This window comes from Homo sapiens, chromosome 1 (genome assembly GCF_000001405.40).
Source record: "Homo sapiens chromosome 1, GRCh38.p14 Primary Assembly".
NCBI classification, from domain to species: Eukaryota; Metazoa; Chordata; class Mammalia; order Primates; family Hominidae; genus Homo; species Homo sapiens.
In genome coordinates this window covers 67,510,293-67,537,090 of record NC_000001.11, presented here as the reverse complement: position 1 = coordinate 67,537,090, position 26,798 = coordinate 67,510,293, and the positions used below count along the sequence as shown (strand labels likewise).

The 26,798-nt window shown below is 43.3% G+C and overlaps 1 long non-coding RNA gene across 7 annotated transcripts, besides 4 other annotated features; it reads right to left on the bottom strand.

Moving 5' to 3' along the window:
* Positions 1,311–1,605: an enhancer, noted in NCBI's record as "tiled region #12925; K562 Activating DNase matched - State 8:EnhW". NCBI's record gives its function as "activates a minimal TATA promoter and a strong SV40 promoter by Sharpr-MPRA in K562 cells {active_cell/tissue: K562}" and the evidence as "EXISTENCE:reporter gene assay evidence [ECO:0000049][PMID:27701403]".
* Positions 3,571–3,865: a silencer, noted in NCBI's record as "tiled region #10397; HepG2 Repressive DNase matched - State 5:Enh". NCBI's record gives its function as "represses a minimal TATA promoter and a strong SV40 promoter by Sharpr-MPRA in HepG2 cells {active_cell/tissue: HepG2}" and the evidence as "EXISTENCE:reporter gene assay evidence [ECO:0000049][PMID:27701403]".
* LINC01702 (long intergenic non-protein coding RNA 1702) lies at positions 4,761–14,727 on the bottom strand. 7 transcript variants are annotated; one of them, NR_199725.1, is made up of 5 exons: positions 14,693–14,727; positions 9,654–9,713; positions 7,342–7,472; positions 6,713–6,776; positions 4,761–4,985 (listed from the first exon to the last, which is right to left on the bottom strand). It is a non-coding gene; the product is annotated as a long intergenic non-protein coding RNA 1702 (long non-coding RNA). The 7 variants fall into 7 exon arrangements; NR_199724.1 differs by having other exon boundaries at positions 7,342–7,438; NR_199723.1 differs by lacking the exon at positions 6,713–6,776 and having other exon boundaries at positions 7,342–7,438.
* Positions 20,756–21,395: an enhancer, noted in NCBI's record as "OCT4-NANOG-H3K27ac hESC enhancer chr1:67981379-67982018 (GRCh37/hg19 assembly coordinates)". NCBI's record gives its function as "activates a minimal SCP1, AML or CMV promoter by ChIP-STARR-seq in naive and primed H9 embryonic stem cells {active_cell/tissue: H9 hESC(naive and primed)}" and the evidence as "EXISTENCE:reporter gene assay evidence [ECO:0000049][PMID:30033119]".
* Positions 21,396–22,037: an enhancer, noted in NCBI's record as "OCT4-NANOG-H3K27ac hESC enhancer chr1:67980737-67981378 (GRCh37/hg19 assembly coordinates)". NCBI's record gives its function as "activates a minimal SCP1, AML or CMV promoter by ChIP-STARR-seq in primed H9 embryonic stem cells {active_cell/tissue: H9 hESC(primed)}" and the evidence as "EXISTENCE:reporter gene assay evidence [ECO:0000049][PMID:30033119]".

Here is a 26,798-nt window from a genome sequence, read left to right as displayed (position 1 = left end):
CAGGATGAGTGCAGTGGCATGATCATGGCTCACTGCAGCCTCAAACTCCCAGGCTCAAGCAATTCTGATGCCTCAGCCTCCCGAGCAGCTGGGACTACAGATGTGTGTCACCACGCCCAGCTAATTTTTTTTTCTTTTTTTTTTTTTTTTTTGTAGAGACAGGTCTTGCTGTGTTTTTCAGGCTGGTCTCAAACTCCTTGATAAAAGCAATCCTCCTACCTCAGCCTCCCAAAGTGTTGAGATTACAGGTGGGAGCCACCACTCTTGGCCTACAAATTTACTTACAAATTCTCTGGGACTCCAGGCAGTCATTTTCTTAGGACAAGCAACAAGAGGAAATGAGCTCTGTTGAATAAGAAACTGAATTCCCCTTTGACACTCTGGGCATGGAAACCCTCCCTTCTCCAAAGGGCTGGAGTAACCCTCAGGGGCTTGTCCCCCAAGGCCCTATGAATGAAGCTGGATTTAGGTACATGGGCGGGAGGGAGAGCCTCAAACCATGGGTGGATTTGGTTTGATATGCATTGCAAGTTCGTCCTATCAGAGGGTGGAGAATACAGACCTTGAAGCCACACACAGCTGGGTTCCAATCCCAGCTTTGCTGAAGATACAGCACTCAACATCTCTGAGCCTCATCTTTAAAATGGGTACGTCATACCTCTATCTCCCAGAAAGGTGAAATTAAATAATAATGCACAACACTTGGCATGTAATAATCATTATTCCTTCCTCTTACCCGTCTCAATTTTTCCCATTACAGGAAATTGTTCCACAAAACGCTGCGACCTCTAGAAAAATGCTCCTTCTCTCCACTCTGCCCACCGCCACCCACCCAGGTATTTTAAAGTCAGTGAGAGAGGCCTAGCAATTACATTCCTTTTCTTTTCTTTTTTACAGTGTCTTACACCAAAATATTTACATTTGTGTATTTGATTCTAAGAAATAGGGTATATAGAGGACAGATGATTGACCATGAGTTGGTAGGTGTTGAAGCTGGATAATGAGTACAAGGGAATTCATTATATTATAGTCTGTACTTTGGGATATATTTGAAATTTTTTGTGTTAAGAATACTTTTTAAGGCTGGGCACAGTGGCTCACACCTCTAATCCCAGCACTTTGGAAGGCTGAGGCACAAGAGTCGCTTGAGCCCAGGAAGCGGAAGTTGCAGGGAGCCGAGATCACGCCACTGCACTCCAGCCTGGGCAACACAGTAAGACTCTGTCTTAAAAAAAAGAAAAGAAAAGAAAAGAAAAAAAGAATACTTTTAATAGAAAAAAATCTTAATGGTAAGTTACTATATGTCAGACACTGGTCTAGGAGATGGGGTTTAAAAGAATAAGTCTAAGCTTGCCTTTGAGGAATTTAGTTTAATGGGAGAGAAAACTGTGTTAATGGTCCTTTCAAGCTGAGTGATGAGGGTGAGTGAAACTTTGTGTTATGCAATGCTCACATATTCCACCCTGACGGAGTGCCAGTATGTCCGGCTACCAACGGTGGTGGCGTCCCCATGTGGCAAAAGTGTGAACACCACCTGCAAGTCACTCAGCCTTCCTGTATTGAACTGGAGAAACTCGACTAATTTACAGTGTGAGAAGCTTCTCTTTTCTTCAATATTTGCATATAAATGAGACTTGATTAATATATTTTGGCACATTGCTTCAAATCTGTGGCATAATTTAAATTTGCATAAAACTTGGCTGCTGAATTGTGATGATCTGTTTACTTCTCTAATAGGGTCCTCTTCCTCACCTCTTCTTTTCCCAATGGAGTAGAAACAGAGAGGGAATGAAGGAGGGAGGATAGAAAGAAAGAAGGGAGGAAAGAAAAAAAGGGGCAGATTAGGCAGAAAGACTGTTTGCTCTTCTCCCTCTCCTACCTCCCCAATGTCAAAGTTATGTTATACGAGGTTTGACATTAGTGATCCTCTCTTTTGTGCTGTGCAGTAATTGACATATAAGTGATGTGAAACCCTCATGCTGACTGGCCTCCCCATCTTGGGCTTATCATTTCACTTTCCAGAACCTATATTATAGATTTCTCCATCTGTTATATAATAAAGGAATAGCAGTACTGACCTGACTTCCCAAGGGTCATAGAAGGGTTACACCAGATAATGCAGGAGAAAGCCCTTTGAGCACAGTACAGCCAGAGACACATGTTAGGGGTGTTATTAGGACCACTGACATGGCAACCACAGCTGCCACTTCCTTATGACTCACTAGCCTCTTATATGAGCCCGCCTCACTATGAGGCCCTGAAGGGTGCTGAGCTAATGTTTGTAAACCACTTTAAAGAGGAGAGGGGCTTTAAAGCAGCTTGGAACACTTCCGATTAGATGACCTCTACAAGAGTACAAAGGAAAATAAATATGGACTTTCCTCTTCCTTTTAATTTTCTTTCAAAAAGAGAGACAACTAGCTCCCTCAGCAGTGTACACCACAGTGTTTGAGTTAGCCATGTGAGTACAGAAGAGTTTTCTGGGACAGGGTCATGAAAAAATATTACGGTTCTTTTTTTAATGGGAAAAGAAGTGCGTGCTTGTTTTTAAAAAATGCAAATGATATAGGAGTATAGAAAATAACAGGTAAGGCCAGGCACAGTGGCTCACGCCTGTAATCCCTGCACTTTGGGAGGCCAAGACAGGCGGATCACCTGAGGTCAGAAGTTTGAGACCAGCCTGCCCAACATAGAGAAACCCCATCTCTACTAAAAATACAAAATTAGCTGGGTGTGGTGGCACATGCCTATAATCCCAGCTACTCGGGAGGCTGAGGCAGGAGAATCTCTTGAACTCAGGAGGCGGAGGTTGCGGTGAGCCAAGATCACGCCATTGCACTCCAACCCAGCCAACAAGAACGAAACTCTGTCTCAAAAAAGAAACCAAAAAAAAAAAAAAAAAAAAAAGCTGGGTGTGGTGGCTCACACCTGTAATCCTAGCACTTTGGGAGGCCGAGGCGGGTGAATCACGAAGTCAGGAGATCGAGACCATTCTGGCTAACACGGTGAAACCCCGTCTCTACTAAAAATACAAAAAATTAGCTGGGCGTGGTGGCGGGCACCTGTAGTCCCAGCTACTCAGGAGGCTGAGGCAGGAGAATGGCGTGAACCCAGGAGGTGGAGCTGGCAGTGAGCCGAGATCGCACCACTGTACTCCAGCCTGGGCGACAGAGCGAGACTCTGTCTAAAAAAAAAAAAGGAAAGAAAAGAAAAGGTAAAAGCCCCATTTTTTCAAATATCACTTCACCCTTTCCCTAGAGGTAGCCACTGTTAACAGTATGGGAGTGTATTCTTCCAGTTTTTATGTAGATAGATAAATAGATCTTTCTGTGCATTCTGTCCTGCAATTTTCTTTTCTCACTTAACTCTAAATAGTAGTGTTTAAGAGTAGACTTTTACAAAGAAATTAAGAAGGAAATATAAATGTTTTACCAAGGGAACTACCCACTCAAATGTATTTCTTAATTTTGCAAGTAAGCCTTATTGTAAATAGGGAAAAGAAATAAAAGAGAAAATATATAATATTTTAAATAAAATCAAATGTGTTTCTTAAACCAAAACATGGAGTTGGAATGTTACCCTAGCTGCTGAGAGAAAACTATGCCCTGTACACATCTTTATCACATGTTTGTCCACCCAAACTAGAATGCGAACTTCTCCAACGTAAGCAGTATTCCCTGGACCTAGCACAATGCCTGGCACAAAGAAATGTTTGCTGAGTGAATAAATGAATAAACAAATCAACCGTGACCCTGGATTCTTGCAGAAGTTATCCATTAATTAGGCCAGGCACAGTGGCTCATGCCTGTAATCCCAGCACTTTGGGAGGCCAAGGTGGGCGGATCTCTTGAGGACAGGAGTTTGAGAACAGCCTGGCCAACATGGTGAAATCCCCATCTCTACTAAAAATACAAAAAATGTTAGCCAGGCTTGGTGGCGTGCACCTGTAGTCTCAGCTACTCAGGAGGCTGAGGCACAAGAATCACTTGAACCCAGGAGGCAGACATTGCAGTTAGCTGAGATCGCGCCACTGCACTGCAGCCTGAGCAACACAGTGAGACTCTGTCTCAAAAAAACGAGTAAGTTCTCCATGAATTAATCTCTCCTGGGCCCCTTCTGTGCTTTATGGCATCTTGTTTTTAGCACTTTTACACATTATGTTATTTTGGTATCACAACAGCCCTTTAATTACGTTACACTTGGTATTTCATCTTGTCACTACTTTACAGATGGGCAAACTGAATCCTAATGAGGTGACAGAGCTGAGCCTAGAACCCAGGTATTTTCTGTTGCACCACTCTTTATATTCTCCATTGCCAGCCTCTGTGGTGTACAATGGTCAAAGGAAAACAGAATTAGTTTAGTTTCTACAGAGCTGAGAGCACACTTGAGTTGGCGAGGGTTAATCCTCATCAGTCTGTGAGCTAGGAAGGCTACTTTAGGCCTGGAGCTGCATTGCTGGGCAGCAAACCTTATGAAGTCCTCTTGTTTGCAAATCCATCTTCTGCCATCTGCTGGATGAATTCAGTATTTCATTACTGCTCTTCCGCCATCATAACAGTTTCCCTCTATTAAGGAACAACTTGGTGCCATGTAATTCCCATGTATAATTTCTATTACTCCTTAAAGCAGCCCTAAAAGGTAGGTCTAAGTTTTAGCCCCATTTTCAGATAAGGTAACTGAGGCTCACAATGTTTAGGTAACTGACACTCTGTGTGTTAATTTCCTAGGGTTGCTGTAAGAAGTTACCACAAACTTGGTGGCTTAAAACAACAAGAATTTATTTCATAGTTATGGAGGCCAGAAGTTTGAAGTCAAGGTGTTGGCAGGGCCACACTCTTCCAAATGCTCTAAGGGAGGATCCTTCCTTGCCTCTTCCGGCTTCTGGTGCTCCAGGCATTCCTTGACTTGGCTGAATAACTCCAGTCTCTGCTCCATCTTCATGCGGCCTTCTCCTTCTCTCTGGGTCTCTCCTCTGTGTTTCTCTTATAAAGATATTTGTCATTGGATTTAGGACCCACCAGAATAATCCAGGGTGATCTCCTCTCGAGAGCCTTAAGTTAATTACATCTACAAAGACTCTTTTTCTAAGAGTCACATTCATAAGTTCCTAGAGTTAAGACATGGATGTATCTTTTTAGAGGCCACAATTTAACCCACTACAATATGTTAGACAGTCAATAAGTTATACAGCTGGCATGTAGCCTCATGTCTATTGATTCCAAAGACTATGCTCTTAATCATTGCTAAGGGGATCTAGGTTTTTGCTAGCCTCACTTCTGTCTCCTCCACCCCTCAAGTCTGCCTTTCTAGGCACCCTCTTCTCTCCTTTTAGTGAACCCCCCTCCCCTTCCACTCTGCACACAAAAAAAACTCCTTCCACCCTGAGACTGCCCCCTGGTGCTGCTTGTACAGGGTGTCCACATGATTTATCCAAATGAAGATATATTTGAGAATGCAAGAGAAAAAATGGGGGTTGATATGGTTTGGCTATGTCCCCACCCAAATTTCATCTTGAATTGTAGTTCCCATAATCCAGATGTGTCATGGGAGGAACCAGTGGCAGGTAATTGAATCATGGGGATGGTTACCCCCATGCTGCTGTTCTCATGATAGTGAGTGAGTTCTCATGAGATCTGATGGTTTTATAAGGGGTTTTTCCCCCTTTTGCTCAGCACTTCTCCTTGCTGCTGTCATGTGAAGAAGGACCTGTTTGCTTCCCCTTCCACCACGATTGTAAGTTTCCTGAGGCCTCCCCAGCCACGCTGAACTGTGAGTCAATTAAACCTCTTTCTGGCCAGGCGTAGTGGCTCACACCTGTAATCCCAGCACTTTGGGAGGCCAAGGTGGGTGGATCATTTGAGGCCAGGAGTTCGAGACCAGCCTGGCCAACATGGTGAAACCCTGTCTCTACTAAAATTACAAAAGTTAGCCAGGCATAGTGGTGCACACCTGTAATCCCAGCTGCTCAGAGGCTGAGGCATGAGAATCACTTGAACTCAGGAGGCGGAGGTTGCAGTGAGTCAAGATTGCACCACTGCACTCCAGCCTGGGCGACAGAGTGAGACTCTGTCTCAACACAAAAACAAAAGCAAAAACACCTCTTTTCTTTATAACTTACCCAGTCTCAGGTATGTCTTTATTAGCAGCGTGAGAACAGACTAATACATGAGTCAATGATTGTCCTGTGACAACAGGTTTAAAGTGGGAGAGTGCCAAGCAAACCTGGATGCAGGGAGTCCCTATCATTGCCTCCCACGGCTGCGCTCTTCTGCTGGCTTCCCCAAGACTCCAAAACTTTTCTTGTACTTCTGTAGTAAATCCCCCTTCCATGGTGCATCCCTACCCAAAATGTGATCAGGAGACTATGAGTCCCACCAGAAATCTAATAAATAATTGCTGCATTTATTTATTTATTTATTGAGACGGAGTTTCACTCTTGTTGCCCAGGCTGAAGTGCAATGGTGCGATCTCTGTTCACCACAACCTCTGCCTCCTGGGTTCAAGCAATTCTCCTGCCTCAGCCTCCCAAGGAGCTGGGATTACAGGCGTGAGCCACCGTGCCCAGCCTATTTTTTAAATATTTGTTAAACTTTTGGAAGATTGTGTGCCGCTAATCACTGGAACACAATCCCTACCCTGAAGGAGTTTACAGACTAATAGGCAAGTTGGACCAACAGATATAGATGCCAAAAGTTTAGAAAAACCTTACCAGCCATTAAGCAAAGATCTCTGGCTGCTGCTTGAAGGAAGTAGTTGGTGCCTTAGAAAAGACTCTTCAGGGAAAAGGGGAAGGGAAATGGCATTAACATAGGGTATTCCAGAAATTCTACTTGCATTGTTTCATGCTGTTGTCATGATCCTATGAGGAAGATATGGGTCCACAGTTTGTTGTCTGAAATCTTTGGGGCCAGGTGTGTTTTGAAACTCAAAATTGTATACATTTTTAAGAAAAAAAATGTTACAAGTATAACATAGTATGTGCCACCCCCAGCAGGGTCTGGGGTTGTACTCCAATTATTAAACTAATACTTTAATAATTGTGTAGCAAAACATGTAGATTAACATTAAATAAAATAAACACTGACTATAAAAAGCCACATGAAAGGGTTTTATGAATAAATTAGTTCAGGTCAATTAGATTTCATCACCAAAGTAGTTAAGAATAGAATATCAGTTTCCAGGCCAGGTGCGGTGGTTCACATCTGTAATCCCAGCACTTTGGGAGGCCGAGGTGGGTGGATCACCTGAAGTCAGGAGTTCGAGACCAGCCTGGCCAAGATGATGAAACCCCGTTTCTACTTAAAATACAAAAAATTAGCCAGGTGTGGTGGTACGCACCTGTAATCCAGCTACTCAGGAGGCTGAGACAGGAGAATTGCTTGAACCCGGGAGGCAGAGGTTGCAGTGAGCTGAGATCATGCCATTGCACTCCAGCCTGGGGGACAAGAACGAGACTTCATCTCAAAAAACTAAAAAATAAAAGAATAGAGCATCAGTTTCCAAAACTTTTGGATTTGAAGATTGTAGAGTTTTATTATTTGCTCCAATTTGTAGACAAAGAAACTGAGGCTCAGAAAAGAAACTTGCCCAAGATACACAATGAGTAACTGATGCAGCTGGACTTGGAGTGAGCCTCAAGTTAATTACAACTATAAAGATCCTTTTTCCAAAGAAGGTCACATTCACAAGTCTGCCTGGCTCACCCACAGCATCATTCTGTTTTAATTTTTGATTCAGATAAGTTACCTGAGCCCTACCAAGCCCCGAGTAATATCATGACTTTTGAAATAATATTGGCTGTTCCAGTCCCACTTGTCTTTGTAGAAACACTTGAATCAAAGCTTTAAATCAGTGCAGCCCAGGACAGCTTTGAGTGCAGCCCAAAACAAATTTGTAAACTTTCTTAAAACATTATTAGATATTTTTTGCAATTTTTTTTTAGCTCATCAGCTATTGCTAGTATTAGTGTATTTTACGTGTGGCCTGAGACAATTTTGCCAGTGTGGCCCAAGGAAGCCAAAAGATTAGACATCCCTGCTTTAAATCCTGTGAACATGAATAATCTTTTTGTCTACCCATATTTGTGACATGCCTTTTTGAGACATTTGTCAGTGTAAATCAGCGCTTTCAGGCAGCAGGGGGACAGTTCTTATTTGTGAACTTGAAAGAGACTTTTAATTAAAAAGTTATGTAGATGACAATACAGGCAGAGTTGCTTAGAAAGCAAAACCAGACAACTCCTCTTTGTTGACCTACTTCAAACACACGTGTGATTACTTAACTTTATAAAAAGAAAGTCCCCAAGAGAGTAATAATTATTCCTAATAACACCTTTAAAAGAAATGGTCTGGGCTGCTCTGCCTATGGAGTAGCCATTCTTTTTATTCTTTTACTTTCTTAATAAACTTGCTCTCACTTCAAAAAATTAATAAATAAATGCTCTAACAGAAATGGGAAAAAAAACTCAATCCAAGAATAGCTTAAAATATTGGCTTCCTCAATTGATACTGCAGATTCATGCTCCCAGCACACCCCCTGGCCAACACTACCACCCCACTCTCACACACACGATGTGTATTGTGAGGATGGTGAAGCTTGGTTAAAATTTGTTCTTTCTTTTTCCTTTGCTGAAAGCTGAAGTGCTGGCAGGATGCAGTGGCTTATGCATGTAATCCCAGCACTTTGGGACACCAAGGCAGGAGGATCACTTGAGCCCAGGAGTTCAAGACCAGCCTGGGCAACATAGCAAGACCCTGTCTCTGAGAATAATAATAATAATAAATTAGCCAGGCGTGGTGGCAACCACCTGTGGTCCCAGCTACTCGGGAGGTTGAGTCCAGGAGGTCAAGGCTGCAGTATGCCATGATCGTGCCACTGCACTCCAGCCTGGGCAACAGAGTGAGACCCTGTCTAAAAAATACAAAAAAAAAAAAAAAAGAAAGAAAGAAAAGTTGGAGTGCTGAACTCTATTGCACATTGCTAATCCCCGGTTAGAGTCAGCAGGCCTAGGATTGTCTTGTCCAGTTTAATTCATAACTTATCACCACTTTTTGGGTCCCAGGGTAGAGAATTCATTCCAGGCCAACTTAGATGGCAATAGTTAAGCCTTTCAGCCTGTCTTCACTACTAGGTTTTTATCATTGTTTTGTCTCGACACAAAAGATGTCATACTCATAAAATTCCCGTAACAGATTAGTTTTGTGTATTCTTCACACTTCAGCAAGGAGGAACAAAATAACAGCTTACCTAAAATAATTCCAGAATTTTCCATTCAAATTATGATTTTATGGATTGAGAAGTTACTATGTGCCATGCTGTGTGATTTATCTTGGGAGAATATAAGTGATCAGAATGCAGCTTTCAGGACTGTACTATACAGTATGCAAATAATAATAAATACCTATGTAGTATTTTCATGTGCCTGGCACCATTCTAGGTGCATAACATATATAATCCTCTCATTGTAAGCCACACAACAACTCTGAGGCAGATTCCTGTGTTAGACTATCTCACACATGAGGAAACTGAGACCCAGAGAGGTTAAAGAACTTGTCAAGATCACACGGCTGGCAAGTAGTGGAGCTGGAATTTTGTTTGACACACTCAGGCCCCAAAGTCCATGTTCTTCCCTTCTATAATGGGAACATTACCTCTTTAGGAACAGGATCTGTGTCTTATTTGTCCCTGTATCCCCGCTTCCAGCACTGTACCTGGCAGAAAAAGATCTTAATACACAGTTGAGGAGGAAGGAAAAGAGAAAGTAAGAGAAAGGAAAGAAGAGAGGAGGGACGGAGGGAGAAGGACACTAGTTTCAGGGGCACACTCATACAGTGCTCCCCATGGAAATGAAGTCCAGGGCCCGTTTAGTAGCGACCGCATTTTTCTGAGAGAGAAGAATTGATGGATAGATCTGTGAAGGTTCATTTTTGTGAGCTGTCAGACTTTGTGCTGTAACCCCACAAAGGGAGAAACAGGGTTTTGTCCCTTGACATAAAAGATGTCATACTCTGGCCGGGCGCGGTGGCTCACGCCTGTAATCCCAGCACTTTGGGAGGCCAAGGCGGGCAGATCACAAGGTCAGGAGATCAAGACCATCCTGGCTAACACGGTGAAACCCCGTCTCTACTTAAAAAATACAAAAAATTAGCCGGGCGTGGTGGCAGGCGCCTGTAGTCCCAGCTACTCAGGAGGCAGAGGCAGGAGAATGGCGCGAACCCGGGAGGCGGAGCTTGCAGTGAGCCGAGATCGCGCCATTGCACCCCAGCCTGGGCGACAGAGTGAGACTCCGTCTCAAAAAAAAAAAAAAAAGATGTCATACTCACCAATGTCCCAAGATCAAAGATCAGAGCTTATCAGAATCTGCTCACGATTCTTTCTTCTTTTCTCTCCCTCCCTCCCCCTCTCTCTCCCTCTTTTTCTTTTCTCTTTTTTCTTTTCTTCCTTCCTTCCTTCCTTCCTTTCTTTCCTTCTTTCCTTTTCTTTCTTTCTTTCTTTCTTTCTTTCTTTCTTTCTTTCTTTCTTTCTTTCTTTCTTCCTTCCTTCCTTCCTTCCTTCCTTCCTTCCTTCCTTTCTTTCTCCTTCCTTCCTTCTTTTTGAAGAAGCTTCGTGGATCATGACTCTAATAGCAGGAGTAAAAGGCTCTACACTGAGTGGGGGCGCAATTTGCGGGACATGGGAGCAGAGCTAGGCGGAGAACAATCATTCCACTGGGCCCATTCTCCAATTGTACAGTATTTTCTAATTTTTTTTTTAAGTCAGGGTCTCACTCTGTCCCCTAGGCTGGAGTCCAGTGGCATGATCTTAGCTCACTACAACCACTCTCTTGGGGCTCAAGCCATCCTCCCACCTCAGCCTCCTGAGTAGCTAGGACTACAGGCGTGCACCACCATACCCGGCTAATTTTTGTATTTTTTGTAAAGATGAGATTTCACCATGTTGGCCAGGCTGGTCTCAAACTCCTAAGCTCAAGTGATCCTCCTGCCTCTGCCTCCCAAAGTGCTGGGATTACAGGCATGAGCCACCACTCCCGGCCTTCTAATATTTTAAAACATTTTGACCTCAAAATTGTGAAGACTATGCTGATACAATGTAAAAGCCAAGCTGTGAGGTGTGGAGAAAAGGTAAGGAAAACAACTGGCCCACTTCTCCCTCAGGTCTCCAGAATATCTGTCATACCTCATTAACGGTACTTGTTTAGATCCACCTGTCCTACTGGCCCATGTTCCTGAGATGCAAGGACCTTATTACTTGTCCTTAGTTTAGCGTAAGTGGTTAAACAGGAAGCCTGGGAAGTCAGATTACCCGAGATAACATTAAGACTTTTTCCCTTACTGCGTGGCATTAGTCAACTTACTTAACCTCTCTGAGCCTCTGTTTTCTTATACATTAAATAGAACATAATAATGTTTTCTATAAGGGAATGTCTCCAGTCCCTGAGCAAAAATCTCTAGCATCCTTAAAGGAGGAAGTTGTAGCTGAGAAAAGACTTACTGAAGGAAAGGAAAAGGAAATGCCACTGACCTAGAGTTCTGCATGCCTTTTTCATGTAATCTTGATGATTGAGAGATTTATGTGTATTGTTCAGCACAGTGCCTGGCTCATAATGCACATGACAAAGACAGCTATATTTCCTAGTATCTGTGCTCTCCTTTCTTTGGTAATAATGTCACTAAAATTTTAGTGGGGTGTGTGTCTAGTTTTAGAAGGATAGAACTTGGGCAGCCTAGCAAAACTTCATCTCTACAAAAAATTTAAAAATTAGCCAGGAGTGGTGGTGTGTGCCTGGGATCCTAGCTACTCAGGAAGCTGGGGCAGGAGGATCGCTTAAGCCCAGGAGTTCAAGGTTACAGTGAGCTCTGATCACACCACTTCACTCTAGCCTGAGTTACAGAGCAAGGCCCTTTCTCCAGAAAAATAAAGAAAGATGGCCAGGGAGTACTGCAAGGAAATGGTGAGGTGCATGTGGCTGTGGCTAGAGGCAGGTATTTACTTAGAGAGACCATTGCCATGATCAAGTGGGGAGGAATGGTCTACACTCAGTTGGAGAGGCATGGTGAGCACTAGGGTGCCTCTGGGTTAGTCAGCTAGAATCTATGAATGCCACAGGGAGAGAGGAAAGTGGGCAGAGAGGGAGAAGGAAGAGAGAGGACACCCAGATTTTCAGCATGGTGACTAAGTCATGGTGACATAATTCACTGAACTGGAGGAGGAACCAGTTTGGGAGGCAAGTGATGAGTGTCACTGAGGACATGTTGGGGTGGAGGGGCCTAGCATGTGTCCCATCCAGATGTCCAGTGGTGTTCCTTTGCTCATCGCCTCTGTGGAGTGGCATTTCATCATCAATGAGTCCCGAAAAAGGGTTTTGCAAAGAGCACTCAAATGTTCTGTGCCTGGGAGATCAAAACAACCCCGCAGAGACAGCAAAAACACGCCCAGCCCACAGAAACCCTCAAGCTGCCTCCCTGCCCTTTCTGGTTTGCTTCCCAAGCCTGCAGCTCAGACAGCCTCACCCCATCCAGGATCCCTGCCTGGGTAGGAGACAAAAGGTGTGTATCCACAGCACAGAACGACCTACTGTATCCACCCAGTCAGCAATGGTTTCTATGAAACATTTGATCACAGGGTGCAGGGGTTTTTGTTTGTTTTCCTTCCACTGGATAATCGTTTCAGTGACAATAGCTAATGGCTGTGATTGTGTCAAACATTAATGATAGTTATTTCCCTGTTGAAATTCTGCCCCCTGCAGACACTTCCCTGAAATTCTATTTTGCACCAACTCTGTGTTGGCTCTCCTAGGTCTTATAAAGCTAAGAAAGACGGGAAGCAAATCTGCCACCTTGACCTCAGACAAGGGGAGGTCAAACTGCAAAAATGGATAAATGTCTTTCTCAGTAAGGAGTTTTAAGGAGGAGCCCACAGTCTTGGAGACCCAGCCCAGCATTTAACCAATGCTTGATAATGCCTGTTACTACACTAAATCCTTTGTATGTGTTATCTCATTTAACCCTTAATACTAAACAACAGGCAAGGAAAATGAGGCTCAGAGAGGGTAAAAAATTTGCCTAACACCACATAGCTAAGAAATGATGGAGATGGCATTCTAAATCGAACCTGTCTTACTCTAGTTGCCAGTGCTTAACCATCAGTCCTGCATTTCACATCCCTGGTGATATGATCACAATCTACCTTGCTGTAATTTAAGTCCAGGTTTTCTAACTCAGTTTGCCCTATTTGGTACTTGCTGTTCTTCAGATGTGGGCTCCCTGTTTTACCAAAAAGAATGTGCATGGTTTCCTATCATCCACCCAGTGCTAGAAGAGCAGAAGTCTTGGCCATGAAGAAACTCAGTAGTGGTGTCTCTGGATCTACTTGCTTCTAGAACTGATCAGTGGGGTAAACAGTGGTGACCAGTCTTGCTGGCCCTGCAAAAAGACGCTGCCTGGTGGAGCTGTTCCTGCAGGTGACCACTTCACCAACAAGTGTAGTGCTTCTCTAACAGTGGGCATAATGGTCTTAAGAACAGAAAAGCAGCCGTGTGCAGTAGGTGGTTCATGCCTGTCATCCTAGCACTTTGGGAGGCCGAGGCAGGATGATAGCTTTAGCCCAGGAGTTCAAGCCCAGCCTGGGCCATATAGTGAGACCCCATGTCTGTTTTATTATTAAATATATACATATATATTTTTTAAATTTACCCATATTCAGTGCACAATTCAACAATTTTTAGTAAATTTACCAAGTTGTGCAATCAGGTAGAACATTTTGAATCTCCTTGCATCCTACCACTAAAACATTCCCAACAGCTAGGTTAGCAAAATCAAAAACCCATGGCCAGCAACTACAACAAACCCTAGCAACCAGATTCTCCTTGAGCTCCAAAATTTGAGTGAGTGGAAACAAGCTACTTATAATTGCATGGTCTACACGGCATCAAGAAGACGGAAGGTAAAGGGACTCGTGATATCCATAAGAACTGAATGACCCCAAATCACCAAAGGAACTCACTGGAAAGTTCAGTGGGCCACTGGAGAACAGCAGCAAAGCTGGCATTGAGAAGAAATGTGGTCACATGGAGACTAGGGAAACCTCTGGCCACGCTGGAGTGGCCTAGAGGTCTGGGCCCTGTGAACTCTCAAACAAACCAAACCAAACCATCTTTCTAGGACAAAGCTCCACCCTGAGGAGAAAAGCCTGGGCATAAAATCCAAACTGAGCAAGATAGGAACAACAAGGCCATAGAAAAGAGGATGTCTCTCAGGTGGCTGGGCATGGTGGCTCATGCCTGTAATCTCAGCACTTTGGGAAGCTGAGACGGGCGGATCACTTGAGCTCGGGAGTTCAAGATCAGCCTGAGCAACATGGCGAAACCCCGTCTCTACCAAAAATACAAAAATGTAGCTGGTCATGGTTGCTGGCATCAGTGGTCCTAGCTATTTGGGAGGCTGAGGTGGAAGGATTGCTAGAGCCCAGGGGCTGGAGGTTGCAGTGAGCCGAGATCGTGCCTCTGCACTGCAGCCTGGGCAAGAGTGAGACTCCATCTCAAAAACAAAAAAGAAAGAAAAAAGGAAGGAAGGAAGGAAGGAAAGAAGGAAGGAAGGAGAGAAAGAAAGAAAAGGGGTCAGAGTAAAAGGTGGGAGGAGAGCAAGGAAGAGGAACTGTTTCGCAGTGGGCAGGTGTGTTTATGCAAACCTACCCCAGATGGCGGCAGACAAGCTGGTGGGTCCCCGTGCCATTACCCCCAGACTCAGGGGTTATAAACCATAGGGGAATGATACACATGCTTCCGCAGGAATAGGTAGGAATTTGCCCTAAGGGCAGGATTTGCAGTAAGTCCATGCTCTTACACAAGGAACAACACATAAACTGGAAATTTCAGCAGCCTTCCTGGAACTGGGGTTAATCAGAAGCTAACATAGTGAGTTAGCATCCAAGATGGACTTGCTTCAGCCTTTACCCTCCACCCCCATAATCTGGCTCTTACAATCCCATGTGTCCTCTTTCACTATGGCCCCTGAGCCTTTAGGGAGGGTGCTTCATATGGTATAGCTTAAACAGCAGTGCCTTGGCAATGGAAAACAGATCAGGCCCAGTAGGATTCCAAATGGAATAGATTCACAGCCTGTTGAATCATCTCTAGTCTTCAGAATACCGTGACTTCAGTTTTCTTGGAAGAAGCAGAACAATGAGAATACGTACAATTAATAATTTGGGCCAGGTGCGGTGGCGTATGCCTGTAATCCTAGCATTTTGGGAGGCAGAGGTGGGTGGATCACCTGAGGTCAGGAGTTTGAGACCAGCTTGGCCAACATGGTAAAACCCCATCTCTATTAAAAATACAAAAATTAGCCAGGCATGGTGGTGGGCACCTGGAATCCCAGCTACTGGGGAGGCTGAGGCAGGAGAATCACTTGAACTTGGGAGGTGGAGGCTGCAGTGAGCCAAGATGGTGCCACTGCACTCCAGCCTGGGTGACAAACAGTAGAAATACAAGGCTGGGAGTGGTGGCTCACCAAGGTGGGCAGATCACTTGAAGTCAGGAGTTCGAGATCAACCTGAGCAACATAACAAAGCACCATCTCTACTAAAAATTCAAAAATTAGCTGGGTGTGGTGGCACACCTGTAATCCCAGCTACTTGGGAAGCTGAGGTGGGAGGACCTTTGAGACCGGGAGGTGGAGTTTGCCAGAGGTTGCTGTGAGTCAAGATCATGCCACTGCACTCTAGCCTGGGCAACAAAGCGAGACTCTGTCTCAAAAAGAAATGTAATGCACACAAGAATTACAATCAAAAGAGAATTTGTAGACCAGGCATGGTGGCTCACAACTGTAATCCGAGCACTTGGGGAGGCCAAGAAGGGAGAATTGCTTGAAGCCAGAAGTTCTGATACCAGCCTGGACTAAAAACCAAGAATGTCTCTACAAAAAATTTAAAACACAATAAAATTAGACAAGCATGGTGGTGCACACCCTGTAGTCCTGGCTACTCGGGAGACTGGGGCAAGAAGATCACTTGAGCCCAGCAGTTTTAGGCCATAGTGAGCTATAATTGCAACATTGCACTCCAGCCTGTGCAACTAAGCAAGACTATGCCTCTGAACAATAAAAATAAAAATAAAAAATTTAATAAAAAATAGAATTTGTAGCCGGGCATGGTGGTGTACACCTGTAATCCCAGCTATTTGGGAGTCTGAAGCAGGAGAATGGCTTGAATCCAGGAGGGAGGGGCTGCAGTGAGCAGAGATCACACTACTGCACTCCAGCCTGGGCAGCAAAGTGAGATTGTCTCAGAAAAAAAAAAAAAAGAGAGAGAGAGAGAGCGAGAGAGTGAGAATTTTTATTCCAGAACAACAAAAATGAAAAACCTATACCATTAAGGAGCCAACTAAAAGCATCATGAAGAAAAAAAAATTTTTTTTTTTTGAGACAGAGTCTCCCTCTGTTGCCCAGGCTGGAGTGCAGTGGCACAATCTCGGCTCACTGCAACCTCCGCCTCCTGGGTTCAAGTGATTCTCCTGCCTCAGCATCCTGAGTAGCTGGGACTACAGGCACACACCACCATGCCTGGCTAATTTTTGTATTTTTAGTAGAGACAGGGTTTCACTATGTTGACCAGGCTGGTCCTGAACTCCTAACCTCGTGATCCGCCTGCCTCGGCCTCCCAAAGTGCTGAGATTACAGGCATGAGCCACCATGCCCGGCCTCATGAAGAAAATTCACACACACACACACACACACACACACACACACACACACACCTCCAAATAAATAAATAAATAAATAAATAATTTTAAAAAAGAAAATTAGAACCTGATTCTTTTTTAGAGATTTCTTGTAGCTGGGAAATAATTCAGGATTAGTCCAAATTGTAGTCACATAATTTAAAAACTCAAAACAATGGTCAGGGCTAGAATCTAAATTTTTCTCTCTCCAGTGCCCCCATTTCCACCAAGAATTAATCATAGTAAGTCAAATTTATTCGCAAAATACATTTTGGGCCAGGTGCAGTGGCTTACATCTGTAATCCCAGCACTTTAGGAGGCTGAGGCAGGTGGATCACTTGAGGTCAGGAGTTTGAAACCAGCCTGGCCAACATGGTGAAACCCCGTCTCTACTAAAAATACAAAAATTGGCTGGGTGTGGTGGCATGTGCCTGTAATCCCAGCTACTTGGGAGGCTGAGGCAGGAGAATTACTTGAACCCAGGAGGCAGAGGTTTCAGTGAGCCAAAATCGCGCCTCTGCACTCCAGCCTGGGTAACAGAGCAAAACTCCATCCCCAAAAAAATAAATAAATAAAATAAATGCTGGTGTCATTATACTTGGTCTGGTTCCTTACATAAAGTGTAGCAATAATAGCGATCAGCCATATAGCCTCCTTTTAAGTTGGCTTTGGTGAAGCTTTTATAAGGAATTTTGGATTTGACTTTTTAGAAGCGTCACGATCAGAAGCCAAGACAAGGGCTTGCCATTAGACTTTGGCAAACACTTGTGGGAATTATCTCTTTTCACAGAGTAGAGAGAAGGTCCCAGAATATCTTAAGGCTCCTGGGCCTGATAGAAAGTGATATGCTTTTCTCACTACAGTCAGAAACCTTGTAAGGAAACCAAGCTACAAGGCCAGTTTTTCCAAGGGGTTTTGGTTTCTTTTTGTTTGTTTTTGTTTGAGACAGAGTTTCACTCTTGCCCAGGCTGGAGTGCAGTGGTGTTATCCTGGCTCACTGCATCACTGCAACCTCCACCCCCCAGGTTCAAGCACTTCTCCTGCCTCAGCCTCCCGAGTAGCTGGGATTACAGGTGCCTGCCACCGTGCCCAGCTAATTTTTGTGTTTTTAGTGGAGACAGAGTTTCACCATGTTGGCAGAGCTGGTCTTGAACTCCTGACCTCACGTGATCCACCCGCCTCGGCCTCCCAAAGTGCTGGGTGTGAGCCACCATGCCCGGCTTCCAAGGGACTTTTTATTGGCTTTATAAAGCCAAACTCAATTTCTCAGTCTGTTCATATGTGAAGATAAGCCATCACAGTCAAAGCACTGGTAAAATGACCAGCATCTCCAATTGTGTCCTGTTACAAAAGGAAACAGATTCTTACTAAACTTATGCAAATAACTATATTGCCAATAAAATAAGAATACTCACAAATAGTTTTCAAATTTTGAAGAATTCAAGTCTAGAGAAAGGTAAATTTTGCTCACAAAAAAATATATACTTTACCTCAATCATCGTAAGCTGTAAATAGCTCAAAAGAAAACATTTTTTGTTTTTTTGACCCTTCTTCAATCCGAGTAGTAGAAATCCAAACAAGATTTCATTTGTTCACCTTGGAACTACTATCCCCAACCCAAGCAGCTCTTTGTCAATCAGCCCAGAGCTGTTCAGTAGCTTCTCACACAGTTCCAGTGTCGGTCCTAGGGAAAAACAAAAAAGAGAAGCTCCCTGCCTGTGAGTACTTCCTTCTTGTACTCCTCAGGTAGCATGATCCTGTAGCCACCCAATGGGTTTGCCTTGGCTGCTGCCTGGAAAGAACCAATGTCTCAAGACAGGGAAATTGCGATAGAGAAAGAGTAATTCACACAGAGCCAGCTGTGTGGGAGACTGCGGTTTTATCATTACTCAAATTAGTCTCCCCGAACATTTGGGGAGCAGAGTTTTTAAGGACAACTTGGTGGGTGGTGGGGAGCCAGTGAGCCATTAGTGCTGATTAGTTAAGTAGGAAATGAAGTTGTAGGGAATTGAAGCTGTCCTCTTGCATTGAGTCAGTTCCTGGTGGGGAGGGGCCGCAAGATCAGAGGACCCAGTTTATCTATCTGGGTGGTGCCAGCTGATCCATCAAGTGCAGAAGCTGCAAAATATCTCAAGCACTGATCTTAGGAGCAATTTAGGGAGGGTCAAAATCTTGTATCCTCCAGCTGCATGACTCCTAAACCGTAATTTCTAATTGTGTAGCTAATTTGTTAGTCCTACAAAGGCAGTCTATTCCCCAGGCAAGAAGGTTTGTTTTGGGAAAGGGCTGTTACTGTCTTTGTTTTAAACTGTAAACTAAGTTCCTCCCAAAGTTAGATCAGCCTATGCCCAAGAATGAACAAGGACAGCTTGGAGGTCAGAAGCAAGACAGAGTTGGTTAGGCCAAATCTCTTTCACTGTCTCAGTTACAATTTTGCAATGCAGTTTCAGTACTATGTAAACCATTTCCATTTTATCATGGAACTCTTTTGGGCCCTGTTATTTCCATTAGCATACGGGTAGCTTCAGTTAGCATCCCATACCAAGGTGGTAAATGCCCCTCAAGTGGACATTCTCTAGTCCAAAATCCCAGTAGTCATCACTGGGAGGTGTTCATAGGCTTTTGCCATGAGCCCCAGTATGGGCTCTACAAAGGGCAGTCAAGTGGAGAATTTGTCCCTACCAGCACTCCAGCTTCTACTCTACACTCTGTGGGCTCAGACAGTCTTACTTGTTCCCATTTAGTGTGCCCAATTAACATTGCTCAAAGGGCAGATGAACATGCCTTCTGTTTCACAGTAGTAGGTAGGGAAAGCATCCCCTAGTCAGATACAATATTCATTATCAAAAAACATTTAGGTAAAGAGGTTAAAGCTACCTTACATAAAGCCTGTTTAAACTTTTCAACTTTCATTTTAGCTATTACTGATAAAAATAACCAAGAGATTGAATATTTAGCTTTGTGCTTATTGGTTTGCATCTCCTTGTGCATCTAATGAACCAACTTCCCAGAAGTTTGAGCCATCTCTAAATTTCACAGGCAAATTTTATCTTTAGCAGCTGAATGCAGCACAGCTACAGCTCCATACCATGGGTGACTACATGGCCAGCTAGGAATCAAAGGTTCCTCATTCCCCACTTTTTTGTCCTTCCTCTTTCTTTCCATTTAGTTTCATCTGCATCATTTTTTTCCTTCATTTTGAAACAGTCTTTAAATAGCCTCTAAAGTAGACACAATTACTTTTCCTTTAAGCAAAACCTACATCTTGTTTTTTAACATTTACCAAAAACACATCTTCCTTTCTTTATATACTTTCTATGTAGAATAGTTTCTCCTGTATCTAGCAGTTTCAATTACATATATTAACTACTGTTCTAACTCTTAGTAAGCCTATTTCTAGTGAGAAACAGAATTACTTATTTAACATAACGTGACTTTAAGGTTTTAAATTACTGAAGAGAATTTTGAAACTAGTTTTATTTACCAAAGATTACTAAAATCACATAAACTAAAAAGCATTTGAGCTAGTATCTATTTTTCTGAATTAAGTGCTTAATTTTTCTTTAGTCCAATTGATTAGAGCTCTTTCATATAATTTGGTAGTGAAATATCACATACACATGACTTGGATAAACATAACAGACACACAGACAGAAGCAGACCTTATAAATTTATAAGATTTTTCGGCCAGGCGCGGGGGCTCATGCCTGTAATCCCAGCACTTTGGGAGGCCGAGGCCAGAGGATCGCGAGGTCAGGAGTTCAAGACCAGCCTGGCCAACATGGTGAAACCCTGTCTCTACTAAAAATACAAAAATTAGCCAGGAGTGGTGACGCCCACCTGTAATCCCAGGTACTCAAAAGCCTGAGGCAGGAGAATCACTTGAACCCAGTAGACAGAGTTTGCAATGAGCGAGATTGTGTCGCTGCATTCTAGCCAGGGACGGAGTGAAACACTGTCTCAAAAAAAATAAAAAATAAAAAAGATTGTTCACCCAGCCTGGGCAACATAGTGAGATCTGTCTCTACAAAAAGTTTTTTCTTTTTTTAATTAGCTGGGCTTGGTAATTTTTGACCATATGATAATTTTTCGCAGGCATGGCACACACCTGTAGTCCTAGCTACTTGGCAGTCTGAGGCGAGAGGATCACTTAAGCCCAGGAGGTTGAGGCTGCAGTGAGCTGTGATTGCACCACTACACTCCAGCATGAGGAACAGAGTGAGATCCTGTCTCAAATGACAGTGAATAAAATTGAATTCACTGCCATTTGAAAAATTGAAAAAGTGAATAAAAATAATTTTTAAGAAAAGATTTTTCATTTGCCAGTTTTCAGTTTCTTCCTCACTTTAGGCTAGTAATATCTTGCATACCTGTTCCACTCCCTAAACAATTGTTAGAGAGGCAACTCCAAATTTGCATCTTCAAAAGAGGACTCAGGCAAAAGAAAGTAGAAAATTTACACCTCAAAGGCACAGAACTTAGATCTACACAAAAGCAAGATTTGTTACATAAACTTTAAGCCATTGTCTTTCCCAGAGTTAAAGTTCCTAGTGGTTTAAGTGCAGAGACAGAAATGCCCTTACAAATGGAGATTACCTTTAAAGATGTAAATTTCTTCCACAAAGAGTTTCAAACACTGATTTTGTTTGATAGGTAGTCTTCAAATTGGCTTGTTTAGATTACTGGCTTTAGAATGGAGCCCAATAAGGGACAGGGCCAAGAAAGCATGCAATCTTCAGGGCCCAAACCACACTTTTCTTAAAAAGCCCAAAGAAGCGGGTAGCCACCTGTAGTAATAAACGTTAACTGCAAACTGCTATCAGCTACCCCTAACACTGTAGCTCTCACCAGCCATCACACCTTCAGCCATCACACACACACCAAGGTCAAATGCTCTCACAGTACCAAGCTATCTCTGGTACTCACAAAAGCCAAAGAGATCAGATAACACCCTACAAAAGAGAGCAGAGTCTTAGGTCTGAGAGGAATCTGTCCACTTACAATCTTAGGATTGCATGAGGAAAAACAGCTTCCTCTCAAAAAGAGGAGTCTGGTGCTTTTTCTGTTTTTTTACTACAAACTGAAGTTCAAAAAAACTTTTTTCAAATTAAAAATGAAAATTAAAAAAACTTAAAACTACATATTGCACAGACACATTGCATATATTGGGAAAAATCAACCCACAATAGTTCCATTCTGAAACTATTGGATTTTAGAGAAAAAGAAAAAAAAATTATTGTGCAAACAGGCAAAAAAAAAGTATTTTTAAAGAAAAAGAAAATTAGAATGTCACCAGACTTTCAACATCAATGTTTCATGCCAGAAATCAATGGAGTAACATTTAGAATACTCAAAATGTGAGCCAAGAATTTTAAATCCAGCTCAGCTGATATTCAAGTATTAAGGCAGCAAACACACTTTGGCAAACAAACGAGGATTTGAGAAACATTATTTCCAGGGACCATTTCTGAGGCTCTATTAGAGAAAGCTTCAGGCAACGAAAATGGCTAAAGAGGCAGCAACATAAAGACTGCTTAACTGATTCAGCTAGTAAAGGAAGATCAATGAAAATATTTTCATTACACTTGGAATACTATTATTTCACAATGCCTAATGAATTAATAAATCTATTCAATGATTATCAGTGGCAACGAATGAAATGGCTCCATTGTCTGGGGTATATACCCTGGTTCTTTGTCTCACACCGAAAGAACTCAGGACACAAACACACACAAGGAATGGGTTTAGGAAAGGAAAATTTAATAGAGAAAAAAGAAGAGAAAGAGCAAAGCCTTCCTCATGCTGAGAAAGCAGGTTGCCCAAGAGAGGGCGTCTGGGTTGTGGCAGAATGCAATCAGTTGTATACAGAGGCTTGAGGAGGCAGTGACTGATGTACATAGGGTCCAGGGGATTGGCTTGACCAGGAGTGACATTTACACAGCCCAGGAGAAGACTGGCCCTCAGACCCTGGTCTTTTATTATTGGGGGAACCCACCCCCAATATTTCAACGTAGGTTCTTTCTATTTTCCATAAGTGTCAGCCGGCTGAGAAATAAAGAGAGACAGTACAAAGAGAGGAATTTTACAGCTGGGCTGCCAGGGGTGACATCACCTATCAGTAGAACTGTGATGCCCGCCTGAGTCTCAGACCAGCAAGTTTTTATTAAAAGTTTCAAAAGGGGAGGGGATGTAAGAGCAGGGAGTAGGTACAAAGATCACATGCTTCAAAAGGCAAAAAGCAGAACTACTAGTAAGGGTCTAACAAAGATCACATGCTTCTGAGGGAACAGGACAAAGGGCAAAGCAGAACTACTGATAAGGGTCCAACAAAGATCACAAGGCAAAGGGCAAAAGCAGAACTACTGATAAGGGTCTATGTTCAGCGGTACATGTATTGTCTTTATAAACATCTTAAATAACAGAAAACAGTGTTCGAGAGCAGAGAACCGGTCTGACCACAAATTTACTGGGGCAGTTTTTCCTCACCCTAGCAAGCCTGAGGGTACTGCAGGAGACCAGGGCCTATCTGAATCCTTATCTCAACTGCATAAGACAGACATTCCCAGAGCGGCCATTTATAGACCTCCCCCCAGGAATGCATTCCTTTCCCAGGGTATTAATATTCCTTGCTAGGAAAATAATTTAGCAATATCTCTCCTACTTGCACGCCTGTTTATAGACTCTATGCAAGAAGAAAAATATGGCTCTTTTTGCCCAACCCCACAGGCAGTCAGACCTTACGGTTGTCTTCCCTTGTTCCCTAAAAATTGCTGTTATTCTGTTCTTTTTCAAGGTGCACTGATTTCATATTGTTCAAACACACGTTTTACAATCAATTCGTACGTTGACATAATTATCACAGTGGTCCTGAGGTGACGTACATCCTCAGCTTATGAAGATAACAGGATTAAGAGATTAAAGTAAAGACAGGCATAAGAAATTATAAAAGTATTATTTGGGAACTGATAAATGTCCATGAAATCTTCACAAGTTATCTTCCTCTGCCGCAGCTCCAGCCAGTCCCTCCGTTCAGGGTCCCTGCCTTCCTGTAACATTTAATTATGCAAATGCAGCTTCTACCTGGCTGCCATGATACCTGCACACATGGTTTTACCTAGAGGCTGCCATGACACAGGAACACATGGTGACAAGGAAAAGAGAGCAGGAACTGCCATATTGAATGTAACCTGGCTCCCAAGTGCAGCTGCCAGCATTTACTTATAAAAGCTCCTGGCCAGGCCGGGCACAGTAGCTCACACCTATAATCCAAGCACTTTGGGAAGCCGAGGCAGGTGGATCACCTCAGTTCTGGAATTGAAGACTAGCCTGACCAACATGGTAAAACACCTTCTCTACTAAAAATACAAAATTAGCTGGGTGTGGTGGTGCATGCCTGTAATCCCAGCTACTTGGGAGGCTGAGGTAGGAGAATCTCTTGAACCCATGAAGCTGAGGTTGCAGTGAGCCGAGATCCCGCCATTGCACTCCAGCCTGGGCAACAAGAGAGAAACTATATCAAAAAAAAAAAAAAAAAAAGCTCCTGGACTGGTGCAGTGGCTCATGCCTGTAATCCCCAGCACTACGGGAGGACAAGGCAGGAGGATCTCCTGAGGTCAGGAGTTCAAGACCAGTGTGGCCAACATGGCGAAATCCTGTCTCTACTAAAATACAAAAATTAGCCAGGCATGGCAGCAGGCACCTGTAATGCCAGCTACTCAGGAGGCTGAGGCAGGAGAATCACTTGAACCCGGGAGGCAGAGGTTGTAATGAGCCAAGATCGTGCCACTGCACTCGCCTTGGCAACAGAGCGAGACTCCATCTCAAAAAAAAAAATTAGCTGGGCGTAATTAGCTGGGCGCAGTGTTGTGCACCTGTAGTCCCAGCTACTTGGGAGGCTGAGGCAGGAGAATCACTTGAACCCAGAAGGCGGAGGTTGCAGTGAGCCAAGATCTCACCACTGCACTCCAGCCTGGCTACAGAATAAGACTCCATCTCAAAAAATTTTAAAAAATTTTAAAAATAAAATAAATAAATAAAAGCTCCTAGTTTGCATATCTTTCAGGCTGCTTTCTGTTAGAGAAGAAATGGTTTGGGGTTGTTTTTTATGAAAGGAAAATTCCACTGAGAAATTATTTATTAATTTCTTTTTTTTTTTTTTGAGACAGAGTCTCACTCTGTCATCCAGGCTGGAGTGCAGTGGCACGATCTCGGCTGACTGCAACCTCTGCCTCCCAGGTTCAAATGATCCTCTTGCCTCAGCCTCCCGAGTAGCTGGGACTACAGGCACCCACCACCACACCCAGCTAATTTTGTTTTTTGTATTATTAGTAGAGATGGGGTTTCACCATATTAGCCAGCTGGTCTTGAACTCCTGACCTTGTGATCCACCCACCTCAGCCTCTCAAAGCACTGGGATTACAGGCATGAGCCACCACGCCTGGCCATTATTTATTAATTTATTAATTTATTATTAATGTATTATAATTGTTTGTTTATTAATCATTGATAATCTCCCATACTCCTGTATTACTAACATCACAAAAGCAAGACAAAGGTAACTTACATGCCCCATAATGGAAATACAGTGAACTCTTGAACAACAGGCATTTGAACTGCAGGGGTTCACTTATATGCAAATTTTCGTTTCCCTCTGCCATCCCCAAGACAGCAAGACAATTCCCTTCTTTTCTTCCTCCTCAGTCTACTCAAGGTGAAGACAACAAGGATGAAGACCTTTATGATGATACACTTAAACTTACTGAGCAGTAAATATATTTTCTCTTCCTTATGATTTTCTTAATGACATTTTATTTTCCCCAGGCTACTTTTTTGTAAGAATATAGTACATAATATATATAACATACAACATACATGTTTATTGACAGTTTATATTATCAGTAAGGCTTCCTGTCAACAGTAGGCCATGAGTAGTTAAGTTTTGGGGGCTTCAAAAGTTATATGTAGGCAGGGCATGGTGGCTCACACCGATAATCCCAGCATTTTGGGAGACCAAGGTGGGTGAATCACTTGAGATCAGGAGTTCGAGACCAGCCTGGGTAATGAAACCCTGTCTCTACTTAAAAAAAAATACAAAAATTAGCCGGGTGTGGTGGTGCATGCCTATAATTCCAGCTACTGGGGAGGCTGAGGCAGAAGAATTACTTGAACTTGGGAGGCAGAGGTTGTTGTGAGCCAAGATTGTGCCGTTGCACTCCTACCTAGGTGACAGAGTAAGACTCCATCTCAAAAAAAAAAAAGTTGGCTGGGCATGGTGGCTCATGCCTGTAATCCCAGCACTTTGGGAGGCTGAAGTGGGCAGATCACCTGAGGTAAGGAGATCAAGACCAGCCTGGCCAACATGGTGAAACCCTGTCTCTACTAAAAATGCAAAAAATTAGCTGGGCGTGGTGGCACGCATCTGTAATCCCAGCCACTCGGGAGGCTGAGGCAGGAGAATCGCTTGAAACCAGGAGATGGAGGTTGCAGTGAGCCAAGATCATGCCATTGCACTTCAGCTTGGGCAACAAGAGCAAAACTCCATCTCAGAAAAAAAAAGAAAAAAGAAAAGTTATATGTAGATTTTTGAATGCATGAGGATTTGGTGCCCCTGACCCCCGTCCACCTTGGGCAGTTGTGCTATTAATTATTAAACACTAAAACTGGCCAGGCGCAGTGGTTCATGCCTGTAATCCCAGCACTTTGGAGGGCCAAGGCTGGTGGATCACTTGAGGTCAGGAGTTCGAGACCATCCTGGCCAAAATGGTGAAACCCCATCTCTAGTAAAAATACAAAAATTAGCCAGATGTGGTTGTGCACGTCTGTAATCCCAGCTACTCGGGAGGCTGAGGCAGAGAATCACTTGAACCCAAGAGACAGAGGCTGCAGTGAGCCAAGATCATGCCACTGCACTCCAACCTGGGCAACAGAGCAAGACTCCATCTCAAAAAAGAAAAAAGAAAAAACATAAATAAATAAACACTAAAGCTTTGGCAGTTTCTGCATAAAATTGTCAAATTTTTTAGTGTATTTTTGTGAAGTCCTATTTTTTTCTTGCCATTTATTTTGTAGTAGTTGCTGTTTG